This window comes from Homo sapiens, chromosome 2, assembly GCF_000001405.40.
Source record: "Homo sapiens chromosome 2, GRCh38.p14 Primary Assembly".
Lineage (NCBI taxonomy): Eukaryota > Metazoa > Chordata > Mammalia > Primates > Hominidae > Homo > Homo sapiens.
This window is the reverse complement of record NC_000002.12, coordinates 18,040,734-18,054,991: the sequence shown is the minus strand read 5'-3', so window position 1 is coordinate 18,054,991 and position 14,258 is coordinate 18,040,734. Positions and strand designations below refer to the sequence as shown.

Sequence of the window (14,258 nt, the reverse complement as noted above, 5' to 3'; positions counted from 1 at the left end):
TATTACATAGCAATAAATAACATAACCGCTGAAAAAATGATCTATGTCCTCACCTGTGACTAATACTGTTGACCATGCATTTCAACTGTGTTTAATTGAACAAATATTTATTAAACATCTACTAACAAGTATCAAATATTGAGCAATTTCTAGGCATTTATGTTCCCACTAGGTTCTTAGTTCCTTGAGGGTGGGGATAATGTCATTTATTTCCCCAAACCCCAATTTATGCCTAGCACTAGTAGTCAGGGCTTGGTAGCTGAGTAAACAACTGAATTTACCCCACATTTATGGCTTACTTTATTCCCATTCTACATTTTAGCTCCACCCAAGTTACCATGCCTTCCTCATAGTCCTTTTCTTATCCTCTAGGTCTATTATGTTCTCCTGCTTGCAATGCCCTTACATTATCATCACCCTGATTATTCTTTAAGACCCAGTTGAAGCCTCAATTCTCCAAAAAGGACCTTGCAGACCATCCCAGTCCTCGGGAATCTCTTTCTCCTCTGAGGTCTGTGGCACTCACAGGTTACGACCTGATTGTTCTGATTCATAGATGTGTTAGATCAGAAGCTCTTTAAGGGAGCACCCTTTGCTTGTGCCCCTTCATATGTCCTCATTAGTATTTGGCATCATGCTGGGCTCAGGAAGCCTCAAGAAATATTGTTTGAACAAATGAGTGCCATTGAATCTGATAACAGCTATGCTTGGCCAAACACTCAAATGCTTTTTTTGTTTTTCCTCCCTTCATTTTTTTCATTCATAAAAGAATTACTGAGCTCGTTCATATACTCATCACTCTGCAAAGAATCAGGAATAGAAAGATTAGAATAGAAAGACAAATCAGACAGTTTATGTTCTCACGCTATTTTTGTTTTCAATGCTGCAGCAACAAATTACTACCAACTCGGCAGCTTAAAGAATAAAAATTTATTATCTTACAGTTGTGGCTTAGAATTCTGACATGCATCTCAGTGGGATGAAGTCAATATCTTAGCAATAATACATTCCTTTTGATATGGTTTGACTGTGTCCCCACCCAAATCTCATCTTGAATTGTAGTTCCCATATTCCCCCCCAGGGTGGGGGTGGGCCGTGGGTTCCCCCATCCTGTCCTCATGATAGTGAGTTAGTTCTCACAAGATCTGATGACTTTGTAGGGGCTTATCCCTTGGCTGGGCACTCATTCTCTCCTGCCACCCTGTGAAAGATGCCTTTGTCCATAATTGTAAGTTACGTGAGACCTCCCCAGCCATGCAGAACTGTGAGCCAACCTCTTTTCTTCATAAATTACCCAGTCTCAGGTATGTCTTTATCAGCAGCATGATAATGGACTAATACACCTTTGTAGATGTGCCCTTGCCTTTTTCAGCTTCTAAAGGCTGCCTGTAATCCATGGCTCCATCTTCAAACCCAGCAATGGTAGGTTGAGTCTTTCTCATGCTGCTGTCCCTCTGGTTCTCTGAAACCTGAAATATTCTTTACTTTTAAGGATTTGGTGATTAGCCTGGGATTACCTGGATAACAGGATAATCTTCACCTATTCAGGTCCTTAACTATAAACACACCTACAAAGTGTATTTTGCCAAGTAAGATAACATATTTCCAGGTTCCAGAGATTAGAGCGTGGTCATGGTTGGAGGCCTTTATTGAGGGGGGAAGTAGCATTATTCTTTGGGGGCTATCACTTAGGGGTTATTAACACCCCTTCTTTGTCTGTCACTACACCAAGTCAACCAACTTATGAATGGGTTTCCTGTGCTCCAATGGTTGTCTTATGGCTAGCAAGGGGTGTACTGAGACTTAGATGTGGACTTACCATTATGGAAAAGCAGAAGAAAACAGAACTTAGCTTAAAATTAAAGCCATATATGATGCAGATTTCAAGTTGGCTCTGCTTCTAATGAAAGCTGGAGTTGATCTGCTTGTTCCTGCATCAGTTGGTTTTCACCTCATAGTATTTTAGTTTGCCTCCCTTGAAAGGAGTGTAGGTATTATACCTTCTCTGCAGCACCATTCTCTGGCCACCATCACTCTTTTTCACCATACCTTAAAATCTTTTGTTGGACAGTTTAGATGTTCTATAGGAATCTCCTTGGTAATTCTATAGGAATCTGCCTGGAGCTTCAGTAAGAGGTTAATCTTGAAGATGGGTCCCCTGAGCATCCTGGAAACACGATTTATACTGGGAGGCCCAGTGGGGTCTTGGAAATGCAGTGTTTCTACAGCAAGAGGACATCGTTCTAGCCCACCCACCATCTGCCATTACTACTGTTCAGAATAGGGCATCCTCCTCACCTCTTGCTCCCAAGAATGTCAGGGCTCTTATTTCTTGGCTACATCTCTAACTTCCAGAAAAGAAGGGGAATGATGATTCTTATATGTGCTAAAAAATTAAAATAAAGATCCATGAGTTGTTCTCAATCCTGTACCCCACAAAGGTTGCCCATAGTTCTAACAAACCTTCCCATTGTGATTGTTTCCATTTGTTCAGACCTGGGTCTTTTGGGTTGCACATAAACTCACACCTCTTCTTCCTGGACAAGAGAGATGAAGCTCCTTTACTCCAACTCAACGTTTGATGTGAGCACCGCTCTCCTCCCTCCCACTTCACCCTACCTCAAGTTCTCCACATTGCTATAGGTAGTCAATAGACATCAATATTCTTCTAATTAAAGTGGAATGTAATCATACATGTCTGTAGGATTTAGAACTGAGGAATACCAAAATCTGGAAGCATCTTTGATACTCTCTTTTAATCTCCTCATAGAGAATGCCCCAGATATTTTATTCTAGTGGCTTTCTAAATACAAAGACTGGAGCTTTTCAAGTTCACTACAACCAGTACATCCACACCTATGCTTCCCAAGCTCCTCATATGTTATGGAAATGTGACTAGATGAGGTTCTGTTCATTCAGTGAATTGACCCGATGTCAGTCTCCTAAGCACACAGGCTTCCTGCACATGCTCAGACTCATTTTGATTTAACCAATTAAAAAAGAGACGCCTAAAGGGTTTGCATTAGCCTCAAGTTGTCTCCATTTCATAAATTCCTCCCTCTCATCAATCAGAAAACTATTTTGGTGCAGCAGAAAGAGCTAGACTTTCTAGCCGGGCCTAATGGCATGCACCTGTAGTCCCAGCTACTTGGGAAGCTGAGGTACGAGGTTTGCTCAAGCCTCGGAAATGGAGGTTGCAGTGAGCCGAGATTGTGCCACTGCACACCAGCCTGGGTAACCAAGTGGGACCCTGTCTTGAAAACAAAAAGAAAAAAGGAAAAGAAAGAGCTAGACTTTGGTACTCTTAGTTTGGGTCTCACTTCTGCATACTAGCTTCGCAATTTAGGACCAGTCATTTAGTCTCTCTGAGCCTCAGCTTCCTCCCTAGTAAGGCAAGGTTAGAAAACCTCATCTCACCTGGTGAATGTGATAGTTAAAGTTAGATCATGTACAGAGCAGCTGCAGTGCATTCTCACAGTGAGCACTCACTAGATAGCAGCTGTTATCAATATTGATTACTTTGCTTCTGTGGTGCTACAGAAACTAATGAAGCAGCTCCTCCACTTGATACTCAGTTACATCTAGAAGGGATGTAACAGGGCCACCAGAAAAGGACTCGACTTTGCTTTCCAAAAGCCTAAGAGGCCTTCAGGCAAGGCAAAATGTGGCAGAAACATTGTGATAAGGAACATGACTCTCTGCCTCCACCATCCTTAAAAATTTAGAGGAACCTCCCTGGACCAAGCAATGGGGTGGGCATGAGAGATGGAGAAGGTGGTGAGAAAATAGAGCAGGGAGATCGGTGGGGCCCAGAGAGGAGAAGACCAAAGGGGGCCAGATGTGCTGGAAAAAAGACATTCTTAGCAAGGGCCATGGTAGAAGTTTGAGATCCCAGTACATGATTGCAAGATTTTACAAAAAGAAACATAAAAACACTTTGTTTTCCTAAGTCCCAGCCCTTCTGAGTCTTACCCGTGACTTTAAAAAATGCACACAATTGACAAGGCGTGGTGGCTCATGTCCATAATCCCAGTACTTTGGGAGGCCAAGGCAGGCAGACCACTATGTCAAGATATCAAGACCATCCTGGCCAACATGGTGAAATCCCGTCTCTACTAAAAATAAAAAAAAAAAAGCTGGGCGTGGTGGTGCATGCTTGTAGTCCCAGCTACTCAGGAGGCTGAGGCAGGAGAATCACTTGAACCCAGGAGGTGGAGGTTGCAGTGAGCAGAGATTGCACCACTGCACTCCAGCCTGGGCGACAGAGCAAAAGTCTCAAAAAAAAAAAAAAATAGAGAAGGCACACAATTTCTATGAGCCTTAATTTCTGCATGTGAAAATTGAGGGTTTGAGATAAGTGACTCCCTCCATCTCTCAGATAATAACACGAATAGTAGTCATTATAATGTTATTGGGATTTTTATGTGTTACTTTAAAATCTTTCTAAGAGCCACATTTTCCACATCAGAAAACAGAGTCAAAGAAGATGAGGAACCTGACCAAGCTCACACAGCTAGAAAATAGTCGAACTAGAACACGGAAAAAGATCCATCTGACTTCAAAGCTCTTGGCCTTTTCATCGCAATGACCTCTAATAGAAACTAAAGAGGCAGCGCCCCTACCTGAGATCCGAGGATCCTGTGGTTCTTTCATATCCAGATACCCAGGAAGCAGCTGACACAAGGAAAAGTTGCCCCTTCCTGGAGTGAGGGTGGCACGCCTCGGCAAATGGCCACTGTGCCTCACTCTCACTCAAGTAAGCAGATTGTCTGAGCCACCTATGGAATTCAGGACTTTCCAGTTTACCTGAGGAGTCACCACCACTGGCTGGAGAGAGCTGAAACACCCAGCGCTTCTGGGTCTCTGACTGGAGCAGAGACAGAATGATTCTTCCGGTGTTCCTATCACACATCCTCTCTTTGTATCTGGATTGTGGGTCTACACTTGTGTGCAAAGCTATGGTTTATGAACACCTCTCACAGTTAAATACAAGTGGAATTTTTTTTTTTTTAAACAGAAACACCTTTTGAGTAGATGACCTGCCACTATCCAGGTGTGTGACATAAGAAAATTTAAAATCCTCTCAGCTTCAGCTTTCTTATTTATGAAACAGAAAGATGTCCACATTAATCACAGGTGATTAGTAAAATTCAGTAAGGGTAGAGTCAGTGCCTTGTTCAGAGGGAGTGACCTCTGAACTTTCATAGCTTTCCTAGCTTGTGTGTCAGAGCAGGCAAGGGGGTCAGCCTCTAGTAAAACTGGCTCCTACCTTCATCGAGCTCCCACAGCATGGTCTTGAACTCATTTCTCACTTCTCACTTCTTATCTTCTCAGACAGATAAGTCTCTACCATTGTATTGTGAGCCCCGAGGGTCAGGATCAAGTGGATTCCTGCCTGAGTCTCCTACAGCCAAGCACAGGACCCAGCCAACGGGAAACGTGAGCTCCAGCAGTCCCCATTTAATCTCTGCAGGCCCATGTGCCCAGGGCCCAGAACCAGTGGGACACTGAGAAGAGCCCCACCTGAGGCCAGGCTGCTGCAGCAGGCACACCTGTTCTTCTAGGAGGCCATTGGATACAGCACCCACCACATCAGCCCATCAGCCCTGGCTTCATGTGTCAGGTGAGACCCATCATCCCACCTAATCAACACCTTTTCCAGGTTCCACCCCTTCCCCGCTGTTTGAGAATAATAACTTTTGAAAGAAAAATGTATAAAAATGATTGTTATGCTAAGCAATCTATAGTACCCAGAAGAGCAAATCCAGAAAAATATTGTGCTTGTATCTTTTAATCTATATTTATATTTTTACAGTGTTTGCTTTTATCTGGAAAAGATACACTATATATGTTGTGAGCTGAACTGTGTCCCCCAAATTCCACTTATTAAAATCCTAACCCCCAATACTTCAGAATGTGACTATGTGGAGATAAGGTCTTTAAAACATACCTGCATACCCCATCGTCTGGGCCACCCCAAAACTGCAGGTAAAAAGCAGAGTTGTTTAAGGTCTTTAAGAAGGTAATTAAGTTAAAATGAAAACATCAGGTTGGGTTCTCGTGCCCTCATCAGAAGAGGAGGCTAGGACACAGACACACACAGAGGGAAGAGCATATGAAGACACAGGGGAAGGCTGGGGACATCCAAAGCCAAGGAGAGTGGCCCAGGAGAAGCCAACTCACCAGCACCGTGAGCTTGGATTTCAAGCCTCCAGAACTATAAGGAAATACATTTCTGTTTGTTAAGCCACCCAGTCTGTGGTTCTTGGTTATGGCAGCTAAAGCAGGTAATATAGTACAGCATATCAAATGTTTCTTGCAAAAATCCATCCTTCCATAAATATACCCTCACAGAATTCTGATGTTCACTTTCTGTTTCTAAACACTGTGAAATATTTTAATTTGGGAAACAAATGGACTATGTATACATTTGTGTACTGACTAATAAAAAAATGCATTCCAGTGTAGCCAGAATTACTTTCGGTGTTGAGAACCCCAGCACCAAACCCCTATTCACCCTGACTAATCCATTACAGTGATAAGCCCGGATACAGAAGGACTTGGAAGGAGCACTGGTCCAGTTTCCAGAAATGTTGGATGAGGAAGAAGAGAACGGGAAGGCGGTGGTGGCGGTGGTAGCGTCCTACACCAAGATAATGAAGCCAGAGAAGGTGAAGACGTTCTGAGGACTTTTTGAGAAAATCATCTTATCCAGTGTCCCCCTTGAACTGCACAGAGGGGGTGGTACAGTGTCATGAAAGTCACAGGGGTGGAATGTTTTGAGGAGGGCATGTTAGCAGCATCGAATGCTCAGTTCACAGAGAGATAGGTTGGTGGAGTGCCAAGGGAGGATTTAATAGTCTCAGAGAGGCCTGGCAGTCTGGGGGCAGGGAGTGGCTGGAATGTGCCCTGAGGCACATGACTTAATCTTGAGCCATAGTTTCCTCCGTTATGAAACAGTTCATAATCTCACCTGTCACACAAGGCTTTTGAGATGATCAAATGATGTAAATCCCCTGTGAACAAATCATTAGACTGTGAGTACAGTAGTCCCCCCTTATTCATGGGGGATATGTGTCAAGACCCCCGGTGGATATCTGAAACCACATAGAGTATGAGATCCTATATATACTATGTACAAATTTCTTTTTCCATCTTCACAATTTCTCAAATAGATTTGTTCTCACTGCAGTTCTTCACAACCTCAGCATATGATTTTGTTTCTTTATTAAGTTGAGAACTTTCACCTTTCACTTAAAGAAAGCACTTTATGGCTTCTCTTTGGCATATTCAAATTGCCAGCATCACTGCTTTTGCACCTTGGGCCATTATTAAATAAAATAAAGGTAACTTGAACACAAGCATTGCCATACTGTGACAGCTGATCTGACAACCTAGAGGGCTACAAAGTGACAGGTGGGGAGGGTAGAGAGCATGGAGACACTGGACAAAGAGAGGATTCATGTCCCCGGCAAGACAGAGCAGGATTACATGAGATTTCATCATGCTATTCACAATGGCAGACAATTTAAAACTTATGAATCGTTTATTTCTGGAATTTTCCACTTAAAATTTTCAGACTGCCATTGACCATGGGTAACTGAAACCTCAGAAAGCAAAACCAGAATGCGTTAACAGAGTAGGTCTATGTTAGGCACAGCTGCAAGCACAGCTGACTCCTTGGGCCACCATGAGGACAATCAGTTAATTAGCCCTGGGAATGACCTAACATAATATGACCTAATTTAGCCCTCTGTGTCGCCAAATGAAATCAGCTGCTTGCTTTTTGCTTTTATAAAACTGCTTGAAGCACTTTGAAATTATTTAGGATAAAGAAGGAAACAAGCTCTGAGTGGGCTTGCATTTGATAGAATTTCTCCTCCGGTTTAAAGCAGGATGGTCAAGTGATGCTCAGGCAAGAGACAACCCAGTGCTGTCAGCATTCCAGAGACACATGGACGTGCACACACACAGTGGCATTCACTCCCAGGCAGGATTACCTCCTCAGCTCCACCCCATCGCCTGGGCCACCCCAAAACTGCAGGTAAAAGGCAGAGTTGTTTGAAAGATAGAGCAGTGAGCCCAGGATAAGGGCCCAGTCCAGGGAGGGCAAGGAGAGCTCTTGTGAGAGCTCAAACCAGGAATCCAGAAGAGGCAGCCACCAGACCACTGAGCATCTGCACTTCTTGGAAGCAGCTCCCATTCTGCTCAGAAGGCTTAGCCAAGAGTGTAATTAACTTGCCAAGTGACCTTGAGTGAATCACTTCCCCTTCTTGGTCTCCTTTGTGGTGACAGAGGGCTACAACCCAGCCTCAGAATATCAGGACTTCCCACTCCATTGGTAGCTGTCCCTTGAGCCATATTCTATCTCCTCTGGGATTCCAGCCCTGGCCTCTGTATAAGGGACAAGCTCTGGTTTATTTTTCCCACAAACGTTATTTAAAGTTTCTAAGACATGGCCATGGCATGCCAGTCCAACCCATTCTGTCAATTTGACACTGAAAATGCCTCTCCATCTGTCTCTTCCTCTCCATCCCCCATACCCACTGCCACTTCCACGGGCTGGATAGCATTATCTCTCTCCTAGACTGTGGCCTCAACTCCCGAATGGCTTTTCTGCCTCCAAGCTCGCTCTCTCCGATCAATTCTCTGCATAAGCATCCAGAGGGATATTTCTGAAACAGAAATTTAATGCTATAATTTTCCTGCCTAAAAGTACCATATGAATAACTATTAACTACAGGATCAAGTCCAAGCATGTCATCCATAACCCTCCAAATTTTGCATAATTCTCCAGCCTTCCCTTCTATGTTGTACTCACTGCATCTTAGGCTCTGCCCAACTTCAACTTTTCACCATTTTCATACAAGAATAGGACTTATCTACTGATCCCTTTGACTCCAGTGAACCAATAAACAACGTTTTATTTGTTAAGCAGAGTAAACTTCCATTTTTCTGTACTCATTAGTTCCAGAATTTTAATGGCAAAGGCCATCTTACTGATGTTATCAAGACGGTCACCAGTCTGGGTCAATGGTTTGTCCCACTGCAGCACAAGACACATAATCAGAAGTTAATGAGCCCATCACTTCCTCATTAATTAATCACAGTACATGGTATAAATGCAGTTATATCAAAGTCCATTGTTTTGGGGCTCTTCTTTTGTGCATATATGAAATTTAATCTTTAGAGAACAAATCTGTAAGATTCAAAGTCCAAATGTTTCTTAATACCAGCTCTATATATTCAAAGAAAGGGAAGTCAGACCTCTTGCAATGAATTCTCACAATGTACAACTTGAATATCAAATTCCTCCTTGCACACCCCATAAATAATCTCCTTTCAAACCACCTTTTATTTAACAGACTTATCTTGAGATTTACTATGCAAAAGATTCCATCTTCAGTACAGTCTTTGTCTTGTATTATTCTTAGGAAGAGCAGTGAGCAATTGCAGAGATTGCACTTAACCTCTGTGAGATGCTGATCCGTGGGAGTGTCTGTCACATGGAAAGAAAAGCATTTGCCTCATTTTCAAGGAAATCATTTCCAATGAACTCCAGTGCCAATTTTGCCATCTTGTCCAAAGTCCCCTCAGCAAAGTGTCAGAGCAATGCAGACAAAGTTATGCAATCAGGCTGTCTTGAAGCCAAGCCACAGAGGCCAGGCCCTGAGCTTCAGAGAAAGATGGCAGAGCCTCACTGAGGCAAGAGGCCATCTCACCACAGGCTGCAGTGCAGATCTCCAGGAAGCCCAGACTGAAGCATCTCCAGCCAGACACAAGATTTGATGTAACACAGCTTACCTGGTACATAAATCACCAGTGTGTGAGAGGGTCTCAGGAAAGCAGACAACTTCAAGCTACATTCACAGAAAGACAAGCCTTTGAACCCAATTTACCTTTAATTTGGGGCCACTTAATGCCTTTCATCAACTCCCATTGTCTTAGTTTAACAAATGGAATCATAAATTATGCAATCAACAGCAATTGCACTTATTTGCAATTAGAATTTGTCAGTGCTCTGCCTATGAATAATTAATACTAGGATAACCTTGATGGAGCGAGTGCACTTTGGAGGGGTGTACTGAATATTTAGGAAGTCTCCATTTGTGATCTCCGTTTTGGGTTGAAATGATCAACTGGTAAATCTCTCCAAATAGCATTCAATCCAGCAAGTCTACAGTGTCTTGAGCTAGAAACAAGAGCCAAGGCACAAATAATTCCAAAAATTTGTGGCTGGAAAGATTGTCAATGGAACTATCGTGTTCTTGTGCATACCCACCGAATAAAACTCCCTATTTGATTCTGAACCAAGTTGAGGGAACTGTCTTTGGGAATCACATCTTCTTTCATCTGTAAAGTGAGAATGAAGAAATTTGTGACTCTTAAGTTCCATTCTGGATTTTAAATTTTTGAGACACCCAACTTTTTTTTTTTTTTTTTTTTTTTTTGAGACAGAGTCTCACTCTGTCACCAGGCTGGAGTGCAGTAGCGCAATCTCAGCTCACTGCAACCTCCGCCTCCCAGGTTCAAGCGATTCTCCTGCCTCAGCCTCCCAAGTAGCTGGGACTACAGGCATGCACCACCACACCCAGCTGATTTTTGTATTTTCACTAGAGATACGGTTTCACCACGTTGGCCAGGATGGTCTCAATCTCTTGACTTCGTGATCCTCCCACCTTGGCCTCCCAAAGTGCTGGGATTACAGGCATGAGCCACCACGCCTGGCAGAGACACCCAACATTTTTAACTGTAGTCCATGAGTCCCCAGTAGATCTATATATAGAACTATATTTCAATATAATTATTCTTGTTCAGCCTAATGTTTTATTTTATGTATTTATGTATTTAAAAACAGTATTCTGTGAAAGGACTGATCACCTTCACCAGAGTACCAAACAGACCCATGGTGCCAAAAAAGGTTGAGTCTTAGACAGGATGACAGATATATGCACATATGCAACAAACACATGAAATTTAATCTTAGTCCAACCAAAGAGAAAATGTGGGAGACAAATGATAAATCTACAAATAGCAGTGCTGGGAAGGACCTTTTCAATTGTCCATCCCAGGCCCCTAACCTCCTCATCTCCAGAGCGAGAATTCCTCTACAGCCCACCTGGCAGACCAAAAAGTCCATTCCCAACCACCTCACGTAATTCATCTGACAATCCTGTAAGGTGGGTGCATCACTATCCCAATTCTACCAGTGAAACTGACCCTTGGAGAGGGTAATTGACTTGCTCAAAGCCTAGAGTCAGCCTTCTGACTTCAAATATTTGCTATATTACTTTGCCATGTTAGTCACCAGACTTGGATACATTAAATAAAACTTTATCAACAAAATCCAGGAATGTGATTTATAATTATAGAAAAATTAAACTCAAATCTAAATATCTTATAGTGGGGGAAGTGGTGAATTCTTTCCTTCATAGGAAAATAACCAAAAATACCCATTTTCCAGGCAGATGACAGAAATTGCCAAAACCATTCCTATGTCCCCATCTGAGGTAAGAATGCATTGTCTGAGATCCTGGGGCCACAACAACAAAAGGTAGTGTAACAACTGAGTCACCATCTTCTATAGATGCAAAGAAATGCTTTAATTCTCAGCATTTCTGTGATACGTTTCTAAAATGAAGTCTTGGTCAGAAGTTCTAACTTATGAGAAAATGAATTTTAAACACTTGTTTCTTGCTGAACTCCGCCTGTGATACAAAGGGCTGACCTCTAAGGACTGAGGGGATCTTAGCCTCAGAATATTCCAACTCAAGCACACAGAAGAGTTCAATTCAACAACTTAGTGGCTGCCTACTACCGAACAGCAAGAATATGCCAAGCACTGAGCTCCGCACCCTGAAAGGGTAGTGAATAAGATATAAATTCATAGGCCAGGAAAGAAAGAAACACATAAAAAAATAATTGCAATACAAGACAGGATGTGCCGAGGCTAATGCAGGAACACACCAAGGAAAGAGAGATTCATTTTGACTGGTAAAATAGATGAAGGATTCATGGATTGGGGACCTAGGAAATAGCCCTCAAATATATCCCCTTCCCTCCATTTCCACCACCAAGTGAGGTATAACAAGACGGTAAAGGATACACTGCAAACATGCAGAGATGTCCTAGGGAAGAGGGGAGGTACAAAGTCAGGGAGGGAGTTGCAGGCAGGCCTAAACAGATGACCTCACTGTCACAAAGGACCAGATACAGCAAGAGAAGTTCACACCATACCTCATTGCTGACGAGGAACCAAATGACATTTTAAATAGAAGATTGACATTTTAAATAGAAGATTCACAAAATCTGATTTTTTAGAAAAGTCACTCTTGGGGATGAGTATTTGGGAAGGATGGTGGGGCTGAGGAATTAGAAGCATAGGGGCCACTTAGGAATGAAGACAGTTAGGAATGGACTTGCTAAGAGCCTGACATTCAGCAGCAGCTGGGAGACCGTTGCAGATTTATTATATTGAATCCAAAGCTGCCTCCAGGTAACTTTAATGAAGGTATTGTTCTGAAATTTTATTCAGCAAAAGAGAAGCTAATGTTTTATTGAGTTACACTTGATACTTCTTGGACAGGTCCTTAATATAGAAGAAAAATGCAAACCATAAAGTAGATACTTATGTTAATCATCTGGAAAGTTCAGCTCTCCAAATGTTTTTAACAATATGGCTGTTTCATGTGGAAAAATGGACTTTAGCGTGAAGTACCCATGGCATGTCTTAAAACTCAGTGAAGCCAATCCTGGGTCATTATTTTGTGGAAATACCTAACTTCAGTCATGCTACTCAGTCTTTAATTTCACACTGTACAAAACATGAAAGAGAGGGAGAGAGTGGGGGAATGGGAATGGAGGAGGAGAAGAAAAAAGAAGATAAAGAGGAAAAAAGAGGAGGAAAGAAAGAAACTAAGGGATAGAGACAGAGAGAGAGAAAGAGGGAGTGAGGAAGACAGAGAATGGACCGATGGACCAGGGAGCTAATATGAGAACAGAAGGCTTAGAAGAGCAAGGCAGAAGGTGAGGGTTTATGGGCTTGACATCAATGGCCATCTGAACACTTAAAAGTTTCCAATTGCTCAAATCGTCATCCAGCACATGCTACAGACTTGCCTGAAGAAGAAAAAGCTGATAAAGTGAGATTGTTTACCATGTTACTTGCCCTACTTCAGAGGATTTTATGTATGGCACAGTGTGGGGTCGGTGGCAATATGAACAGGTAAGATACCTTTACTCCACTACATAGAGTAAATTATTCTATTTTCCCCCCTTTCCATTCATACAGTAAGTACCCTACTGAGACATTTGTTACATTCCAGGGATAGTAGCAGTCTCTAGGAATAAAAATGAATGAATAAGGAAATGAAATAATGAATGAAGGAGCAAAAGAATGAATAAAATTACCCATTTTGCATGCCTCGCATTTGTTTTGCTTTGGTTCCATATCATTAGAAATGGAGTAAATCTCTGAAGAATCAGAATAGAACGAACTGACTGATCTTTGATTGTATGGCCTTATATAAGTAACCTAATGCCTTAGACTCTGCATTTTCTCATCTGTGAAATAGAGATAAGGAAACTTCCCTGCTCACCCCATAAGGTTATTGGGAAGACAAAAGGAGCCCATATGTAAGAAAATACTTTGTAATCACTAAAACACAGCATACGATACTATTATAATAAGGGAAACATCTCAAAGTTTAATTTGTGACCACTAAATGTAATTTAAATTAGAGGCTTGAAGTTCACCTTCTATTCTTTGAAGTGTCACTTTATTAAATTAATAATGTAAACAAGATGAGGGAGGGGAAGCAGGCATTTAAGCCACTTTACTTTTAACCACAATTGGTGTGCTAATTATGGATCTAATTTGGCTATTCACCAAAGCAAGGTCTTTAAGGACAATGCTATTCATCTTGTCCTAGGTAATTTGCATATTTGAAAGAAATGAAAATAAATTTCTTTTAAAAATAGACCAATTCAGATTTCTTTTATTTTAAGTTATCTTATTCACCAAAGATCCCTCATCCTCCACCCCCACCGGGGTAGCCTCATGAGGTTTGATAGGTAGGACTTCAGAAACAAAGATGGATGACCAGCAGTTCATTGACTCTACAATGAGAATTATCTGAGCACAGGAAGTTCAAGCGGGAAGTCTGGGGCATGAATCTTTGAGCAAGAATTCCCCTTGGGAGTAGAACAAGATGGCAAGGGTAAGAAAGCTGGCTCTCCTCTTAAGAAGACAGGGAGAT

The 14,258-nt window shown here is 42.1% G+C and overlaps 1 annotated feature.

The window, feature by feature from the left end:
* Nucleotides 6,348-7,547: an enhancer, noted in NCBI's record as "P300/CBP strongly-dependent group 1 enhancer chr2:18228711-18229910 (GRCh37/hg19 assembly coordinates)". NCBI's record gives its function as "activates an origin of replication core promoter dependent on BRD2, BRD4, P300/CBP, MED14 and CDK7 cofactors, with strong dependence on P300/CBP, by STARR-seq in HCT116 cells {active_cell/tissue: HCT116}" and the evidence as "EXISTENCE:reporter gene assay evidence [ECO:0000049][PMID:35650434]".